The sequence below is a fragment of the Homo sapiens genome, chromosome 15 (genome assembly GCF_000001405.40).
Source record: "Homo sapiens chromosome 15, GRCh38.p14 Primary Assembly".
Classification (NCBI taxonomy): Eukaryota; Metazoa; Chordata; class Mammalia; order Primates; family Hominidae; genus Homo; species Homo sapiens.
Window position 1 is genome coordinate 54,385,998 of NC_000015.10, and position 21,847 is coordinate 54,407,844.

At 33.5% G+C, this 21,847-nt stretch overlaps 1 protein-coding gene across 7 annotated transcripts in view; it reads left to right on the forward strand.

Moving 5' to 3' along the window:
• Positions 1 to 21,847, forward strand: part of UNC13C (unc-13 homolog C) — a 795,839-nt gene that overhangs the window by 548,396 nt on the left and 225,596 nt on the right. For all 7 annotated transcript variants that reach the window (XM_047432538.1, XM_017022220.2, XM_017022221.2 and 4 more), the window contains one exon: positions 7,051 to 7,184. In XM_047432538.1, the coding sequence (XP_047288494.1) occupies positions 7,051 to 7,184 (134 nt within the window). The remainder of the gene's footprint in view (positions 1 to 7,050; positions 7,185 to 21,847) is intronic.

Sequence of the window (21,847 nt, forward strand, 5' to 3'; positions counted from 1 at the left end):
TTAACAAAGGTATCAATCATTTTGTTCCCTGAAAGCTTTTCTTCTCATTCAAGATATATAACACAAAATAAAAGTTAGCTCCATATTATTAATGTGAGGTGATGGTTGCCGTCTGTATATATAAACTCAACCAGGTCTTGGCATTGAGGCTAAAGAGAAAAAACCGAGGCTACTAACTTGTGTTATTTGCAGTTAAGAGGATGTGGAAATTAAGATAACCCTCAGTTTACTTATCTCTAAAATGATGATAATGGTATTTGACTTTAGTATTTGGAAATAAATGAAGAACATCCAAGTGAGAATACACAGTTTATTTATTCAGACATTGCTATAGCAATAAAGTCAGCTACCATCACTAGCACTTGGCAGAGATTGAAAGTCAGGCAGGGAAGTGGAAAAGCCTTATAATAAAAAACATGGAAGGCCTCAGGTGTGATGTGTTTGGAGCATGTTAGCATGGGAAAGCTAGGAGTCAGCTAAATGGAAGTGACACATCCTGTGTGATTTGTTTAGGGAGTATATTTGGCTTTCTCTTGTTGGTTTTCAGTTAAAAATTAGGGCAAAATATAAGGAAGCTGGCAGCCATTGACCAAATCCTTACCATTCCAGGTCAGTTGCTGCAAAGGTTGTGATTTGGCCTCCTGCACTTGTTGATGCAGAGATTGTGGGCCAGAGTTCTATCAGATATGGTCTAGACATTATTCATTTGTATGTTCAGTCTTCATGGCTAACAGTTTTTTAAATGAGAATTGAATTGTAATGAGTTGAAAATATGCCTCTGTTGCTGCTTTTGGAAGTAGTGGAGGTAGCATTAGGTGGTAAGTTGAAGGCAGCAGTATCTGGAAGAGAGAAGAGGGGCATGTGGCTCCACTGATGTCAGGAATGTCCCAATAGGTTATCTTGAGCTAGGGGAAGAGGACTTAGAGAAATTCTCTTTCTCAATCCTGTCTAAATGTAGAGTAGAATAATTGCCCTCTATTTTCCTAGCTGATAAACTGTCCACATTGCTCTTCACAAGGATCCTTGATCTCCTGGGTATCTGAAACTTTAGGTTCTACTTCTAAACTGATGGTGAACCCCAATATTGGGGCCCAGACAAGGAGTGTTCTTGGCATCATGCAGGAAAGAATTCAAAAATGAGCCAACGGAGTAAAGTGAAAGCAAAGCAAGTTTATTAGAGCAACAGAGTACAGGAAAATGCCTGCTCCGTGACAAAGCAGGGCTACCCCATAGGCAGAGTAGCACTTGTGGATCTAGCACCAGTTAGCTAGATTTATAGCTACTCCTTAATTATATGGTAAATAATTTTCTAGAAAAGGGATGTGGATTTCCTGGAACTGAGGGTTTCTTTCCTTTAAACCATGTAAGATAACTTCCAGGCATTGCCATGGCATTTGTAAACTGTCATGGTGCTACTGGGAGTGTCCTTCAGCATGTTAATACATTATAATTAGTGTATAATTAGCAGTGAGGGCAACTAGAGGTTGCTTTCTTCCCCATTTTGATTTTAGCTGGTTTCTTTACTACATCCTGTTTTGATCAGTGGGATCATAACCCCACTGATGTGGAGAACAAGTCCTGCTGATCTCCTACCTCAAAACTAATGAGAGAGGGCCCATTTTTCTAACCTATGAACTTCTATAGCTAAGATTTCCTTATCTCAGAATTATGAATAGGTAAACAATCAATTTGTATTCAGAAGAAGTTGCAAACACATCATATGAGAGCTATCTAGTGAATGATTTAATATTATTTTATCTTGCCACATATTTCTCACATTTTAAAGCTTACCTCTTTTAAAATATTCAGGCTTACATCTATCTTGCTTTCCTTTTTGTTTCTTTATATCTACCCTGTCCTGATTATTCAAATTCTTGGCATCAGCAAACCTTGTTGCTAAGATCTTTAATCATTGCTTAGCTGCCATGACTACAGCTACCTTGCTTTGCACATTGCAAAGCACTTATACACACACACAAGCACACAAATTCTTTAAGTTCTGTTCAGAAATACCACAGTCCCTTTGGCCTCTCCTAGACCTCCTCATTTCTAGAGCCCTTCACCTAATCTCCATTCTTGATTCCCATTCCCATGAGCTGAATGACGAAACACAAATATCCTACTGACCTCAATTTCCTGTCCTGCCTTTTTCACTCCTTGTTTCCTCTAGATCTGTTTCTTCACCTTCCCTTCCTTTTTTTCCTTCCTTCCTCCAGACCAAAATATATATTTGTTCTAGCACTTCAGTAATTCTCTTCAAATATTTAAATCTCATTCTCCTTTCCTGTTTTTATTGTATGCTCCGGAAGCACATCCAACATTCTGGCTTTTAGGCTTCAACATTCAACACTGGAGAAAACTCATAATAGTCCAGCGTAGTGTCACTACAAGTTCAGAGATCCACCCCACACTGCTTGGCAATGCCACTATGGGTCCAACTCGAGGCTGTCTCTCATTCCTCACAGGTGCAATTTCAAACTTTTACTACCCCACCAGTACACTGTGCACCACCTCTTCTCTGAAGAAGGAAATTCCTAGCTAATTTTTCTCACCACCAACAAGGCTTATCTGCAAGATATTTTTATTATCTTACTCAGAGCAAGTCACATTCTTATTTATGCTTGAAGCTAATTATTCCACATAGACTCCGGATCTCATTCTCTTCCGTTTCAGCAGGGGCCTCTCTCCTTTACCTATGTCTCTTATAAAATTTTATTCTTATTGTTTTTTAGACTTTTTCTCCAAGGTTTTGTCTGTGGTCACATATTTATCTCTCTCTTTTTGAGTAATCTAATTTATTCCATAATTTCGGCTGCCACATATATACTGGAATTTTTTTTGATCTACATCAACATGTTCAGAATGCTTTTGAAACTTCAGATAGGTCTACCTAATTACCTTCTAGATTCCTCCTTTTCTCTTTCTCACCCATTAGTCAATAAGTTCCAACAATTTTACTTATTAACTCTTTAAGTTAATAAGTAAACTGCCAAGTCATTTAGAACACAAATGTAACCAAGTAATCCTATGTTTAAAATCTTTTAAATGGTCCTTATCATGTTTGGTTTCAATGCAAACTCCCTGACATGACACACAAAACTTTTCATGATTTGACCCCTGCATTTATCTCTCTAGTCTTTTATTTCCCAAAGTATGTTCAGAAGAACACTTATCCTGTGAAAAGTCTGGCACGATGAGATGGGGGAACAGGAAGGGAATGGAGGGCTTTAGCAAGTTCAAATCCATTTAAGAAACTAATGCTTTAGTATTACCTCTTAGAGAAGTGGTTCTCAAATTGGTTTCTGGAGCAGAAGCACCAGCATTATTTGAAAGGTCACTCTCAATACACATTTTCAAGCTTTACCCTAGACCTACTGAATCAGGAACCATGGGTCCCAGGACCTAGCAACCTGTCTGTGTTTGTGAGCTTTCCCAGTGGGGCTGATATACACTAAAGTTGGAGAACCACAATCTTAGAGAATCACCATGCACATTAGCATATTAAAGGCTTCAGGAAATCTGAAAATAACGTATTTAACTTTGTTTAAGCAAAAATTTTGAAGTTAGTTGAGCCCTTGTGTGTGTAAGTACATGATACTAACATAGAGTAGAACAAACGTTGGAGAAGCACACTTCATCAAAAGCTGTTATAGCCCATTTTACTCATAATTATTCAAATATAGTAGGCATCTGTCATGTGGTTTTGTGTGTACACAGCCTGTCTTTGCATTTTTCTTTTTTTTTTTTCTGTGATGGAATCTCGATCTGTTGTCCAGGCTGGAGTGCAGTGGCACAATCTTGGCTCACTGCAACCGCCACCTCTCAGGTTCGAGCAATTCTCCTGCCTCAGCCTCCCAAGTAGCCGGGACTACAGGCATGTGCCACCATGCCCAGCTAGTTTCTGCATTTTTAGTAGAGATGGAGTTTCACTATGTTGGCTAGGCTGCTCTCCAACTCCTGACTTCAGGTAATCCACCTACCTCAGCCTCCCAAAGTGCTGGGATTACAGGCATGAGCCACTGCGCCCGGCCCGTCTTTGCATTTTTCTACCAGAGGTCTCCTCCCAACCCAAGTCTTGTCAGCTCCTTAGAAGCAGCGTTTCACAATTACATGTTTATTGAATGAATACATTGAATGCCACAGAAATATTTTATAACAGTTTTAAAAGTATTGTATAAGTTCCACTAAGTTGAAGATATCATTTGTTATTTCAATACTGTCTTTTGCATGTAATGGCTCTTTCTATATACTGATCTCTTCTTGATGGAATATACTTATATTTTCTTATGTGATATCATGAAAGTGTAATATACATCCCATCAGCTTGTCTGTAAAAACTTTTCTCTATATGCTTTTCTGTAATGAAATGACTTTGTAAACATGACCATTGGAACTTTCTTCAGATAATCCTATAACCTGGCAACTTTCCACTTTCAAAAAATTACCTCCCCATTATACCCTTACAGATTTTCTGTAAAGTCTGTTTCTTCAATAATCTATTAACAAAATAATTTTAGTCACTATTATAATAATTACTATAATTATGATTGATTTACTGGGTCATATTTTAATAAATGTATTTTTATTTGCTATTAAATGATTTATAATTACCATATTTTCTTGATATAACAAATGTTATTTCATAACATTATTCATAGTAATGTTTCAGTCAATATGAATATACTTATTATAAGCTTTTCTTAATTTCTACTACAATAACCTTAATTTTTCCAATCATAAGGTTAAATGCCCTATTAGATTTCTAGGGTATATTAAAAAGTTTCACATAGAGAAACTTAATTCTTAAGAAATTGAGTAAATATTATAATACACCAGATGAGACCTCATCCTTTCAGCATGCAGTCTATTACAATACGCTATTAAAGTAGGGAAAGCCTGGTTTATGATAGTATTGTGTGCTATATAAAAACTTAATGATTCAACATCCAGTTTGATTTATTCTAATGCAACAAACGTTATATGATGTGAAAAATAGCATCATCAGTAATCTTCTGGTGTCATAAAAAAGAGTGATGGAAGTACAATTTGCGACAGGTAAGGGACTTGGGAATGAATGCATATTTCAACTACTTCTGTCTCTCCTCCTTTCCATGTCACTCTTTGCAAAAATGATAAGTGGCTGTGATGTTACACATATCATGTGTAATAATTTTCTTTCATTTAATCACATTACTTAAAATATGTAAGACATATATTTTGGCTATGTACATATGACGATAATTAATGATAGTGTTCTAATACAAATATCTCCCCACTGTGGCTATTAGAAGTAGTTTTATTTATCACCTTCACAACTCACCAGGTTATCTGGATTTCTAAATCCTTTAGAAATCTATTGAGCTTAATATAATGCACAAATAATTACATTATAGTAGTGATAACAAAATTCTGTTTACAAAATAAAAATAAATTTTAATAAAATTTCTAACTTAAAAGGCAGCAAAGCTTGACATTTGTAAGCCTGCATTACTGTCCATTACTTCCTAAAGATTCACTAATATAACCCAGGAATTGAAAGAAGAAGCTTGCCAAGAACTTTCAAGTTGTTCTCGGGGATCATATATACATACTTCTTAAAATCCTTTGGAGATTGCTTATCATTTATTCTGGATATTTGAAGTATTTTGTGTCAGCCACTAATTTTTTTTTACCATTTTAATCTAGTTCTGCAAGTTTTAACATCTGTTGCATTTCAAACATAAATGTAAATCAAAGGCTCTTGGATGTATCCTAGGGAAATATATGCTCTTAAAAGTACATTATAGTCTAAGAATAGAGGTGTCTAGTACTAAGTGAGTTCACTATAGGACTGTCTTTCAAGTTACACGAGAATAATTAAATGACAACTCAACAAAATATGGTTACATATCATGATTTGCACTGGAACATATGCATATACAACCATTCAGCCGAGAGGGTGGCTGATCTGGTCACAGCAGAAGACATGGCAATTGGATATGGCAATAGTTTGGGCCAAATACAATCTAATACCCATTTTACATTAGAGTCTTTGAGTTTCTGGAGCCATAAGTTGATGTTTTCAAATATCCTGCACCTATAAGCTTGTAAAGGGTTTAGCAAAACTTTTCATATACTTAAGCGAAAATGTATCTCTGCCTATATTTTTAGCCAATTTTAACAAGTAAATGTAAAAGAAGTGCTCTAAGAGGAACACCCACCAAAATAAATGACCAGAATAGCTTATCTCTATGTTGTAAAGAATTGCATATGTTGAGTATGAAATTTATATGTGAAACATTCAAGATTGATATTGTACTCTGTTAACCTCAAAGTAAATCTAGATCATCCTATGTCACATTCTGCTTTCTAGACTGAGAGTTGAAGACTTTGAGCAGTGTGGTAAATTGAGAAAGTTTCAAAGACATTTTAAAAAAAGGAAAAAAAGAGAAAAAGACAAACTTACAAAATTTTAGTTACCTAGATAAATTTGTGCGTAAGAAGGGAGAATTTAAGTCAATTAATGTTGCATATATAGTGTGGGATTTAACAGTACTGAGTTTGAGTAACAGTACTGACAGGCAGCTGTCAGTTCTGCATACTTACTGCTGATGTAACTTTGAGCAAAATATTTAGGCAAGATAAATTTTATGCATACACACACGCACACACAAACACACACCTTTGTACACACAAAATTCAATCTTCATCCTTGGAAGAAGCCACATTAAAGGCATAATTTCTAATAATAATAATTCTTAAGGTCATGAACTTGTAATCATCAGAGGCAGGAAAAACCTCTAATCCAGAACAACAACAACAGCAACAAAGCAATGGAAGTTAAACCAATATTTAAAAAGTGATTAGAAATACAAGCCAGGCCACTGTGAGTTTATTCTATGGGATGTCATTCAATGAAGAAAAGAAACCTGAGTTTAACAGCTTTGACTCCCATAATCTAAGTTTCATTTCCACAATCATTTTTCTTTGATCTTCTATTTGACAGTGACATCTAACTAAAGTCATCCCATTTAACCTTTTCTTTTGCATGTTGCGTGAACTTGTGAGCAGAGTAAGAAACAGGATATTCCTCGTGAAGATCAGGGACCAACCACCAAGAATTTGGATTTTTGGCCCCAACTTATTACACTGATGGTTACTATTATTGATGAGGATAAAACTGCCTACACACCTGTCCTGAATCAGTAAGTACAATGTTTTGGAAATGAATGGATTTTATTCCACTAAAGTTCAAATAATACATATTTTAAGCGCAACATATACTGACGACAATAATAAACTTTTCCATAATTAAGCTATAGAAAATAGTATTTTTCAACTTTTATCAGTAAATATCAATTAAATGATATTATGAATTTTTAGTTTGAGCTCCATGGAGTATGATTCTTTGGATATGGAGAAAAATATTTTCCAAGATTTGATGTTTATGTAATGTAAAACTTTTCCTCCACATCCTTTCATAGCTATACCATTGTCTCAAAAGAAAAAAATGTACACTCCCCCAAAACTAAAAATAATTTTGAAGAGCTAGTGTTAAACATATTGCATTGTGGCTTTTTAATAATAAAGATTTGGCAAAAAACCTGCTTTCAAAATAGATGTGCATATTGATTTAACAAATTTAATAACATATTTAATAAAACAAGTTGATTTTCACAAAGTATAATCTAAAGTTCATGCCTCTAAGACATGGCAGATGAATTAAAATTCATGACTATTCTAGAAGAGACCGTAAAAATCCTCATTTTATCAAAATACAACTAGCTGTGTGACCTTAGGCAAATTATCTAATTTCCCTGGGTCTCAATTTCCTCCCAACTAAAATAAAGGTGTTATTATTAGATGATTTCCAAGATCCAATCCAACTTTAATATTGCATATTTAGATTTTATTTTACACCCACATATTAAAGACCATAAAAGCAAAAATAACATCAGACTTCCAGCTAGGCACTTGCAGTCTGGTTAATGAAGAGGATTGTCTTGACAATATTAGTTAGACCTGAAATGTTATGGGTAGCAAAGATAGCAGAAATAGACAAACAATGAAGTAGAACAGTGAAGTAGACTCAGACTTACTATGGATAAATGACTGTATTCTTATCCTCTATACTGGTCAAGACCGTTAGGGTCATTGTTTATGTTCAGTCCAATTAAAATTCCAGTTAAAGAAGAAATACATTTAAGTATTTCAGTCTTCATCCTTTTCTACTTACTATTAACCACCCATTTTCAACAGTCCCCCAATTCCTCCTAATTGTGGAGAGAGTGGTCCTATTTTTGGTATACAATCATGATAATATCAAGTTTGCCCTTTCACTTTCTTCTCCCTTTTCCCCCACACCTAATTCTTATATCTGCCTTTTCTTCCTGATGGCCTTTGTGTTTCCTAATCTCTGTACAGACTTTGCTCTTCTATTCTCTTCTGTTAGGACTAGAAGATCTTCTCTTAATCTATAACATGTCGTCATCGCATCATGGGTCCTGGGAAGTACATCTCAGGTCTCTGACAGCTTTGTAGAATAGAGTTGTGTTTTCTTATTTACTCTTTGGACCTTTCTTGAGGACAGAGTAGTTTTCTGAAAGATTGGGAGACCGACAACTTGTTTCAAGACTGTGTCCTTGGACTGGGATAGGCCATTTTACAAATGGATACTGGATGAAAACAAACATCTACTGAGAAACACAAATTCAGTTCTATGAAGAAACTTTGGCTTTAATAATCAAAGAAATTTCTTATGTTTACCAAGTATCTTAAATCAGGATTTGATCAGTAAAAATACATTATAAAATCATGGAAGAAATTAAAGTATCCATGATTTATTTGTAATCATGTGCCACAAAATATATACAAAGATTTTAGTTGACTTTATGTAACTGTAGTAAAGAAACTGGAATAAATACGTTTATTTATGGCAAAAATAGATTTAAAATTATGAACTAAATTAAGCCTACCAAGTATAAAAATTAGCAATGACATGTGCAAAAGAGAAAATTGTTTTTGTTTTTTTCAATTTTGTTTTTAATGTCAGAGTTTAAGTCCACTTTTTTCCTTTGGAAACCTGTCCCTGAAAAAACCAAATGCCTTCCTCTATTTGGAATCCATTTTTTATTATTGTGTTTGGTCAGATTTTAAGGATGCTGTAAAACTTTTTTTCACATACTGAAGATCGTTCAATTTAGTTTCTCATTTAATTTAATAAATGCCTTAAGTGAACTCATCTGGAGACCAAGATGGCATCCTGGTGGCCAATGTTGCATTTGTATAATGTGGTGAGATTTCATTTATATCTGTTACTTTGTTTGAATACTGCATCGTCACATTTATGCTTAATTAATCATCTCCTTGGTTACCTAAACTAATGCAGAATTTCACAAAGTAAAAAATCCAGACCACTAGGGTAAGGATCACATGGGCTACTAGCTGGATTTGCAGATCTGAGCCCCATCCCAAATCTGTGGAGTCAGAAAACCTGCAATTGACACAGAAGTCTGCAATATTAATAAACGATCCCTGTTATTGTGTCTTATGGTCACTAACAATGAAGGCACAGATCAATATGTGAAGGACATGCTAAAAGTAGCTTGGGTTTTGTTTTAGAGGCAAAGGCAAGTGAATTTAATGATTTTAAAACATAGGACATTTTAAAATCTCTTTCAATGTAATCCCTGATTATTGATTCAGATCATTTAGTGAAGTTCTTATTGTTATCATGAGTTTGAGAAATCATTGTAGGCTTTTGCTTACTCAAATTTGATAACAAGTTTACAGTGACGGTAGACTATAAGCATGAGGGAAAAGACTTGTATTTTGTTGACTAATGTATATTCAGGCATACATATTTGTTGAATGAATTAATAAATTAAAGTAAATTTATACATGTAGTCAGTGTTTGTTCTGTCTATTCCCATGTTGATTTATTAATGAACTACAGTGTTTATTTGAGTAATATTTTCTCAATTTTTAAAATTATTTATAATGAATTTTAGATGTTTTAGAAATTTCAATATTTCATTAAAACTAAATAGTATTAAGCAGAGTACTTTCAGATTTAGGTCCAGGTTTCTGTCTCTTTTTCTTTCTCTGTCTTTCTAACAGGTTTATTGAGGTATAATTGAATATAATAAAATTTCACATATTTAAATAGTCTAATTTGAATAGTTCTGGCATATGTATTTAGCCACAAAATTATTGCTATTTTCAAAATAATGAAGATATCCATTACCCCAATAATTCATCCACTTTTGTAATTCATCCACTCCTCCACCATCCCCAGGCAATGCCCCTCATCTGCTTTCTAATACTATGAATTAGTTTGGAAATGTTATCATTATGTGTAAATGTAATCATAAATTCTCTCCATTCTTTTGTCTGGCTGCTTTTATTCATTACAACTATTTTGAGTTTCACCCATGTTATTTATTCATTACAACTATTTTGAGTTTCACCCATGTTATTGTATGTTTCTTTTTATTTTTGAGTAGTATTCCATTGTACGTATATACCACAATATGTTTATTCATTCATCTGTTAAAATTTGTACTTTTTCAAGATTAGGTTGCTATGAATATTTGTTTACAAGTCTTTGTATAGACATACTCTTTTATTTCTATTGAGTTACGTGGTAAGTATGTACTTAATATTAAAACTGCCAAACTGCTTTCCAAAGTGGCTGTACCATGCCAACACTTGGTTTGATAAATCTTTTAGTTTTACCTATCCTAACAGGCATATATTATCTAACTATGATTTTAATTTGCACTTTCCTGAATCCTAATGATACTGACCATATTTTTATCTGAATATTTGAAATTCATATATCTTCTTTGGTGAAATTTCTGTTCAAATCATTTTCCCATTTCCAAATTAGGATGTTTATCTTATTATTGTTAAGTTGTAAAGGTCTATACTAGATAAAAGTCTGTCATCAGAAATAAATGTTGCAGTATATGCTTCTAGCTTGTAACTTTCTTTTCCATTATCTTACTAGTGCCTTCTGAAGAGCATAGTTATTGCGCATTTTTAAAAAAATTTTGATGGAATAGTCCAATTTATTGATCAGTTTCTTTTATAGTTTAAGCTTTTAAAAAAATTCTATTTTAGAAATCTTTGCAATCTGCACAGTCAGCTTGCAACACAATTTTCTTCTAGACATCTTACATTTAAGTCTATAATTCATTTCAAGCCAATTTTTGCTTGTTAACTGGTGTGATAATCAAGTTTAACTTTCTTTGGATCGTTTTCATATGGTTATCTATTTTTTTATCTCTACTTGTTGAAAATTATTCTTTCCTCATTGAATTGCTTTGGCATCTTGGAGAAAACTCAATTGACTGTATATGTAAGAGGTTAATTCTGAAGTTCTTTGTAATCTGTTCCACTGATCTATATAGCCGTAATTACACCAGTACTGCATGTCTTGGTCACTATCATTTTCTAACATATTTTGAAATATTATAGTAAAATTTACTCAACTTTGTTTATATTTTTGAAAATAGTTTGGCTCTTCTAGCTCCTTTGCAATTCCATTTAAATTTGTATCAGTTTGTCAATTTCTACAAGAAAAAGGTCTGCTGGACTTTTGATTGATATTGCATTAAATATATAAATCTATTGGGGAGGAAAGAAAACAGCAATATTGAATTTTATAATCCATTAACATGGCATGTACATGCATTAAGGTCTTATTTAATTTCTTATTTTGGTGAAAAGGTGTTACATATTCTTTGTTAATTGGTTTCTAAGTATTTTTATTACTATCTTAAATGGTACTTTTAATTCTAATTTCTCATTCTTTGTTAATAGTACATAGATATACAAATATATATCTTCAGCCTTTCTAAATTTACTTTTTTGTAGGTTCCTCATGATTATTTAAATAAATTATATTCTTGTCTAAAATAAATATGGTTTTACTTATTTCTTTCCAATTTAGATGTATTTTATTATTTTTCTTGCCTTATTGCTCTGGTTAAAATCTTCAGTACAATGTTGACTAAAATTAGTGAAGAGCAGACATTCTTGCCTTATTCCTAATCTCATAGGGAAAGCATAGAGATTTTTACCATTGAATATCATGTTAACTAACTGTTTTTCATGGATAATGCTTTATCAAGTTGAGGAAGTTCTGTTCTGTTCTTATTATTCCGAAAGTTTTTATCATGAAAGGGTGTTGGATTTTGTCAAATATCTTTTCTGCTCATAATAGGGTAATCACATAATTTTGCTTTTCAACAATCAGTATGGTGAATTGAACTAAGGAATTTTTAACTTTAAACCAACCTTGCATTCCTGGAACAATCTCCACATGGTCTTGATGTATAATCTTTCCTACATAATATTATATTTTATTGATAAAATTTTGTTAAGTATTTTTGCCTTTGTGTTTATGAGGATATTGCTCTATGGTTTTATTTTCTTATAGTGCCTTTTTCTGTCTTTTATATCAATGTAATGATGGTTTTATAGAAAGAGTTAGACAGTATTTCCTCCAGTATAATTTGCCAAAAGAGTTTTTATAAAATTTGACATTTTCTTTTCTGAATTTTTGATAGAATTTACTGGAAAAATCATCCGGGCTTAGAGTTTTATTGTAGGAGGTTTTTAAACTAAAAATGTTATTTCTTCATTAGATATAGGGCTATTTAGTTTACCTATTTGTTCAAATAGGTAACCTAAATTTAGGTTTTTGTAGTTTGTATCTTCAAGAAAATTTTCCATTTAATCTAAGTGGTGAAATTTTCCATCATGTAGTTGTTTATGCCAGTCTGTTATTATTTTTTTATGTCTATTAAATCTGAACTGATTTTTCCTCTCTCATCCTTAATATTGATATTTTGTGTCTTCTCTCTTTTGTTCTGTCCAACTGTCTGAACGTTTATAAATTTTACTGGTCTTAAGAAACAGCTTTTGATTTTATTCAATGTTTTGTTTTTTGTTTTAAATTAATTTTTTTCTCATTCCTTTACTATTGTCTTTCTTCTGTTAGTGAAGATAAATCTTAAATGGTTATAGCAGTAATCCAGTGAGAAGATATGAAAGCCTTGTATAAGATGATGGAGAGTTAAGGTTAGATTTGTGAAATAAATCAAAAGATCTTTATGACTAAATGCACTGAGTGGAGTGTTAAGGAAGAAAGTAGAGACCATGGAAATGTCATATTTATAGGGGCATCATTATTGGAGATAAGAAATACAGGAGGAAGTATCCATTTAAAGAAGTTCACAGTGACTTATATTTTGATATACAGATATTTGGTTACCTGTGGGTCTTCCAAGCATTATATGCAACAGACAATTGTATACATAGATAAGAAAGTCCTTTAGGTTGATATCGATTAAATACATAATGTAGAGAAGTTTTGCTATATGTGCCTAAAAGTAAGAAATCTTAATTATTTCTAAATATTCATAAAATTTTACTCATTTTACTTAAACTGTCATGACTTCATATTACTTTGTTTTTGTTATGCAGACCAAAACATAAGCAGAAATATCTTTCATCCATTCTGTTATCTCATTTGTTCGCATGCATTGTACTATAACATGTAATTTCTTTTAGTTTTCTCCAAAAATATACATACAGTGAAGTCTCAACTCATTTTCTCTCTGCATTAAGTGTAGATAGCAGAAAGTATCTCAATGTATTGAGTAGAAAATGGACCAGTTTTAAAAGTTGTCTTTTCCATTTGCAAGGATAAAATCTGCCTATTTTTCCCCTCTCGGGGTTATGTGATGAGCCAGAACATTAGTTTCAAATTGCATGTTTTTAAAGATAGGATGTTTTATTTGCTGAAGTGAGGAAGTTTAGGTTTAAGCGACTTTGATCAGGGATTTGTCCTTTGTTCTTTCTGTTTTGGAAATAATGTTCAGAGTATTAAAGTTCTTGATTTGTTTGCTTACACTATGGCTTCCCTAAATTACTTTTATATTTAAGAAATTGTTATGAAAGTGTTTATCCTACTATAAAGTACAGAGACTATGCAGTAGAGTCCTGTATATCCATTATTCAAATTCAACAATTATCAAAATTTTGTGATGTTTTCTTCATCTATATTCTTGAGTTTTCACCTTCTTTTTCTTTTGGCTGAGTTATCTTAAACAAACTTGAGACATTCTATCATTTCATCCCTTCTTAGTTTAGTATTTATCTCTAAAAATTATGGCTTTCTTTTGTACATCACAACTAATAACATTAACGGTAAGGCCCTGGTATTGTGTAATCCCTATTCCATAATCAAATGCTCCTGATTTTCTTTAAAGAAGATTTTTTTTACATTGGTTTGTTTCAGTCAGGATCCAAATAAGGTGTTAGCATTGCATATGGTTATTATGTGTTACAGGTCTCTTTCATACTAGTTAAGTCCCCCCTCCCTTTTATTTTATTTATACCGTTGACTTCTGCAAGAAGCTATGTTCATTATCCTTTAGAATATGCCACTTTCTGGGTTATTCCATTTGCTTCCTTGTGGTGCTATTTAACTTGTTCCTTCATAGTCATTACTCTCCATAGCTGAACATTTCAGATTCATTTTTTTAAGAACACTTCATAAGTGACTGTGTGTATTTCATACTATGTCACATCAGGTAGGACATTATCTGGTTATTCCCTTGTAGTGATGTTAACCTTGATTAGTGCTGACAGTCTTATTTCTTCATTGAAAATTTCTTCATCAACCTTTCCTATAATGGTTTCATTTATTTATGATCACTTCAGAATTCGCTATTTTATTAGGGATGACAAAACGGTGGGTTTTTATATTTTTTTATTATACTTTAAGTTCTAGGGTACATGTGCACAACGTGCAGGTTTTTTACATATGTATACATGTGCCATGTTGGTGTGCTGCACCCATTAACTCATCATTTACATTCGGTATGTCTCCTAATGTTAAGAAAATGTGGCACATATACAGCATGGAATACTATGCAGCCATAAAAAGTGATGAGTTCATGTCCTTTGTAGGGACATGGATGAAGCTGGAAACCATCATTCTCAGCAAAATGGTGGTTTTATAAGGTTACCATTTCTTCAACATTTATTCATTAGAATTTTTTGTAAAGAAGAACTTTCTTTCATTAATTAGGTTTACTTACTTGGTTACCCATATGTGTAATAAATATAGGAAAGATAAGGTAAATATTTAATTATTTCTTTTAACCTAAAGTATTTTATCTCATTCTTTTCTTTTCTGCTCTATTGAACTTTTATCATCTTTCATTAACAGTTTCATTTCAATTTAATAAATATGTATTGAACCCTTAATAAATATATGCCAGTCACCGTGCAAGGCTAGAGTCACAAATATTTAATTTGTAAAAGAGATATATACGAAATTAATCAGGAGTCTGAAAGTGGTTAACTACTGTGCCTGCCACAGTCACAAGTCATTCTGTGATTAAACTCCTCCTACACACCCTTGTTGACGCAGCCTTATGAGAAAAATTTTGCACAATAAGAGAAACTAGGTTCACTCTCTGGAACTGTACCAAGAAATACTAAGAGTGAATCGGCTGACAGGGAGAATAGACACTGAAAGTTTATGAATTTGAAGATACCTGTAGCAGGTGATCAACAATTAAGTCAGAATGAAGTATAAACAGGAACGAAGATCGCGTCGAGAGAGAAGAAGGTAGTTGACAGTGAGTGGAGGGAAAGGATACTTGGAAGGAAAAGCAGATACAAGAATAGCAGAGTCACGTACTGGAGGACTTTGTGCCTGATGATCCCCATCTGTGGTCGTTCAACGCACTCTTCAGCGCTGCCTTAAATCCGGAAGGAGCATCTTGTCTGTCTTGTCTGAGGGTCCCTGAAGCCTGACTCCAGGGGCTGTTTGACTCCAGTAGACAGAGTTCAGCTTTTCTTGGGTTCCAGTACAATGTGGTAATGGAGTTTAGTCTTGTTTCTCCATTACCCAAAGTATCCTTACAAAAATTACTTTTTAATTATTTGTAGTTACTTGAGCCTCTGATTTTTGGAACCAAAGTAGCATAACTAACCCAATATAATATTATATGAAATGACACATGTATTTCAATATAGTTGCAGTTTGTTTGCTGTTGAAATGTAAAAAAAAAAAAAAAAATGCTTTAATTTGAATTCTTAGGATCTAGGTGAACGGTTCATTTCCTACAAGCAATCAGTTTTGCAGACCTGCAGTTCATAGTGGGCAGAATAGGTAGCGAAAAAACCCACAGATCTGTTGTAAAAATCTACCTAACACTAAAGATATAAAGTAAAATTTCAAAAGTAATTTAAAAACTGTTACTCATATATATCATAGCCATTTTGAATTTTAAAACAGATCAAGTGTGTTACTCTGCAGTTTTCTAAAATATTACATTATATGGAAAGAATTCAAATACTTTTCTAAGTGCATAAGGGTACTGCCAAAGAATGCTTACCAATAATTATACTAATTTAAACACCTCTGAAGATTTCAATTTTCTACCTCCCTGACCACATATCACAGAGGTGAAAAAGAGTTGATCTTGAATTTTTCAAGGTTTGTCATGCTTGCTGAAAGATTTTAACACAACTAGATATTTATATGTTATAAATATCATAATCATTATATAGGGAACCATGGGGAATTAGCTGGAGACAGGCACTATTCTAAGCATTTTTACAGTTTAATGTTTAATCCTAAATTTATTCTAATGATATCAGTACCATTATCATCCCCAAACTGCAGATGATGAAACTTAAGCATAGAGAGGACTAACTTACGCAAAATGACTTATCTAGTAATAGGCAGAATCAAAATGTAAGCAGCCCTTTGAAATAACAAAAGGGTTAATGTTAACAAAAGGATCCCATAAATAAGATGGTGAGCATTAATCCTTCCAAATATTTCTGATATTTTAATGATTAATCTGGATCTGATTGCAACATCTTTTAGGCTTTCTATGTTTTAGAAATTAGGAGGCAAAACTTAATTCATGAGACCATATCAGGATTTGTAGAGATAATGCACAGAAAGCACCTGGCCTAATGCCTGCATTGAGTAGGTGCTCCACAATGGTAATCTCCATCTCTGCTCTACTGCCTTAAGCTCCCTGCCCTGCAATATGAACATGAGGACTTGCTTGTACCAGGTCTTGCAGTTCGAGAAACAGTTATCTAAACTCAGTAAATTCTGTTGACTATTTACCCCATGCACATCACACACGTTATTTAGGCTGTCCCTGGCCATCTCCAACTCCTTTGTCATACTGCCAGGAGGTATTTTCATTGTCTTATGCAATGCTGATTTCAAGAGTTAACTTAGAGCTGGGCTCATGCTGGTATGCCTAGCTACTTGGGAGGATGAGGCGGGTGGGTCTCTTGATCCTAGGAGTTCAAGGCTGAAGTGAGCTATGATCAGACCACTGCACTTCAGCCTGGGTGACAGAGCAAGATCCTGTCTCTGACATAAATAAATAAAAACTTTTAAAAAGTGGAAGCCAGGAGCAGTGGTTCACGCATGTAATCCCAGCACTTTGGGAACCCGAGGCAGGAGGATTTCTTGAGGCCAGGAGTTTGAGATCAGTACATAGTGAGACCCCGTCTCTACAAAAAAATACAAAAATTAGCCAGGCATTTTGCCACATGCCAGTAGTCCCAGCTATTAGGGAGGCTGAGGCGGAAGGATCTGCTTGAACCCAGGAGGCAGAGGCTGCAGTGAGCCAAGGCAACACTCTGAGCAATAGACTGAGCAACAGAGTGAGAACCTGTCTCAAAAAAAAAAAAAAAAAAAAAAAAGGCTTACATAGATCCATTCACAGTTTTGTTTTTCATGTTAAAATTAAGTATATACTTAAATATCTGAGTTCATTAAAATAATGCCTTGAAACAGAAAGCAAAAAGATAAAAAGGGTGATTGGCTTCAAATGGCACTTATGATCAACTTGCTTTATGGTACAAGAGAACCTAAGTACAAAAGGAAAAATTTCTACCACAGCATTAATTCGTAAGGATGGCTTGTAATTTACTAGTAGAGTCCTGATTAATAAAATTTATGCTTAGTTGTTCACTACATTCATGATAATAGCAGTTAATTGCACTAAATACATGTCAAGCATCTTAAGTGCAGAGCATACTAACAAAGGCTTAATAAGTTTTATAATGTAAAAAGGGCACAACAAACTGTCTCTTAAGTTCTAGCTATGACAAAGAAATTTCAGATGCATACACGACAGGCAGTTACAGAGAACCATTGCTTACTTATTTGTAATAATTAACCTACTTTTCTTCAAAGACAAACTTTGCATATCAAAATAATACTTCTCATTTAATGGATTCTAATTTTATCCATTGTGACTGATGAATCAGTATTATCAAATTTGGCAGTGGCAGATTATGTTTTCCTCATTTCACTAAGAAATTTGCAAGATAATAAATTGGATTATTAAATTGTTGTGTCTCATAAGATTCAAGATTTAAAACATTTGTGCTTTGTTAATTAATTGCTGCAAATTAAAAACAGGAGACAGTCACATAATGGTGGAATGGATCAGTTATTTCATTAAACCTCCTCTTTATGATGGTAGATTAAGTTAAGCTATGACTGCATTGAAAATGAAGAAGAGGTAGAGCTCTACCTTAGAGAATTTAATTTGTGCACAAGAAAACCTCATGAATTCAGATTAGTGTGAGAAGGGTTAATTTAAATATATATGGTACATAGGAATATTTAATGTACCATATTTATGTGTACTTCTTTTAACTTCTAAGTATGTATGACAATTTCTACAAAGTTACAAAATGGTTGTGGAAAGGTAAACCTCTTTCAGTTTTGCTTCTATCACAGTTAGGAATTTATTTGTAGTTAATGTATGAATTGTTAGTGTATAGCTCAGTACTTCTGAAGTTCATAAAACCATTCAGTGCTGTGAGTACATAAACATTTTCCTTTGCAATCAAGTTTATTGCTATTAACTTTATTAACAAATTTTCTCCTACAGACTAAATACCTAGTAAGTACAAATATAAATTTTCATTCACTTTATGTGATTATTTTTATGTTAGAAATCAATGGAATCTAAATAATATTTTCCTGTCTGTCTCATTTATACTTAGAATTTCATCATTATCAGCAGGAAACATTTATTGAGTACTCACTATGTGCCAGTGACTATGCAAAATATTTACATGTAAAATCTCATTTAATCCTCACAGCAGCCCTAGAAACAGTCCCAAGTTACACAATTAATATCATCCCCATTTGACAAGTGAGAAAATGGAGTTTTGAAGAGATTACTCACTGCTCCACTGGGTAAATTTGCTAAGCAGCAGAGGAGAAATGAAATTGCTGTCTTTTGGAATGCATTGCTATTTAACTTCTATATTATACTGCTATGTATTATGCAGAAGAAATGGACAAAAATGTGTTAAATTTTGGAAAATAAGCCTCTAGCAAATATGCAGATGGTATAGACTCCTTAGGTAGCCCCCACCAAAAGGCAGAAGTATTCAATTGTGGAATGTCAGAAAAACAAACTCTGCCTTTTAAATAATGATTTGATACTGGGACTACAGCATAGAAAAAGCGAATAAAAAATTTAGTGTCAAAGTGAGATTACATATTTACAAGTCTACAAAGGCAAGTTAGACATGGTGAAAAAACACTATTATGGAAATATTATTTTGTGGCCCCTTAAAAATTAGAAACGTAAAATGTAGCCATTAGTTACCCAGAAATTGATAAAATCTATGTTGTCTGAAAAATGGAGTGTTTCTCCTTTCATTTCCAGTACCGGCTTTCCTCTTTCACTTACTGTATTTTACTCATAATTGTTCATTTTTTCTCCCCTATTTCCACAAGGCAGAAAATAATAAAGAATTGTTTGGGAAACTGTTAGCTTTGCAAATGTTACTAAGTTATATTCTGGCTGCTAAAATGGTTTGAATAGTATGGAGAGAAAAAATTATATACATATGTAGGTATTGAGAAGACTGTGTAAATGTAATTAATACTGTTAGTTTACAGTAAAGAGATGCTATGTTGAGAGAAGTGTGGGGGGGGAAAGAATATCTTATCCTTCTATCCTCTGAGTCCTCAGCTGTAGTCACTATAACAAGATCCATTAACAAGAGAAGAGCATACAAATTTATTTAACATAAGCTTTATATGACACGGGAGACTTCAAAGGAAATAAAGACCTGAATAAATGATTAAATTTGAGTATATTTTGTGCTAGGTTCGACGAAAAGTGGAGAATTGCGGGGACGTGTATAGAAGCCCCCAGAAAAGTATAAATACAGTAAACTTGGAAAAGCAGCAAGGCCTGCTCATTCACATTCCTTTTGACATCCCTGTCTTCAACGATAAGGATGCTTCTTTCTTTCCTTTTGATATAGGAGCAGCACCTCTCACATAAGGATCTTATTTCCTGCTTCAGAGAAAGATCAGAAAATCCTTTCTAGGTTTTACGTCTTGCTGCAGGGGAAAATCATAAAGTCCTAACTGCATGTGCCATTTCTCAGATTCCTTCCACTTGAAATATGCAATTTGCCAAGGTGCCATATTTTGGGGTAGCATGTCCTAAATCCTGTCAGGAGAAATGTTTTATAATGCTAGACAAAATTGTTTAAAGAGAAAAAATGTTATTCCCCTTATTTTCATCAGTTTGGAACTACAAAGCAAACATCAATAACATTGTGCCAGTTCAGTTAAACCTTGTGTCACGAGTACAATTATGGAATTTCCACAGTATAAAAGCACCAATCCTGTCACTAATTCTTAATATTAAGTGAGCTCAGACCCATTTATAGTCACTATGCACTTCTCTTTGCCCTTATCATTCACAACTATTTAATCATTGCTAATTCTGCCTTGAATACAACAGAACACTTAAAGGGAGGTGATACTTGAGCTGTGCTTTCCAGGGAGAGAGAGAGGTTATTATCTCATAGAAATTAAGAAGAAGAGAGAACAGGAAGGTGGAAAATGATCAGAAGATATATAGAATGTCAGGCGTGTCAAGAAATAATAAATAATAGGGGTAGCTAGATTATTCATAGTAAGGGTTGGGGAATGAAGGTGAAAGAAATGAAAGTTGGGGCCAGATGGTCAGAGCAGGATAGTCATATTAATGAATTGAAACTATTATATGCTAATAAATGTGTGACAAGCAATTTATGGTTTTAAAGCAGTAGTTAGAAATATGATGGCCTGTGTTTTTAAAAGGTAAATTTGGTGATAATATAGAAGATGTATCAGAAGAGGGAAAATAGAGGCAAAGGCATAAACTAATTGATTAGTGCAATTATTAAGGCAAATGAAGGTAACGACTTGAATTAGGAACAGGGAAGAGAGAGGCAAATTCCATAGGTAGACCAAAGAAAAAATTCCCAGGAGGGTGGAAAGGAGGGGACACTGTGGATCGTGGCAGAGGTGGATGACTCTGGTAGCTATCTAAATTCATTAGCTAAATAGTATTGCCATTAATTTAACTATGAAATACGTAAGAAAGAGTAAGAAAAGTTCTTCCAAAGGTACAAAAAGTACCATAGAGTGGAGGTAAAGTAAAATAAAATACAGGCTTCGGAAGAACTTGTGTAACTGTTAAAGAAAGAAACTTTGCATTCTTTTTATTTTCTATCATGGGATATCTATTATCTCTATAGGTAATAGCACAACCAAAATTGAAACCAGTGTATCATAATGTTTTATAATGGAAAAAAACTTCTAAAACTGATCAGAATGAGACCTCAGACCCCAAATATTGTTTTCGGTATAGAAGCAGATCTTAGCAAGAAGTAGATCTTGAGATTTAAATTTAAAGAGGGACTACTACATAAAATATGAAGCCAATAATTTAAACTGTAAATATTTTGAGGAAAAACCCAATAGCCTAATACCAAC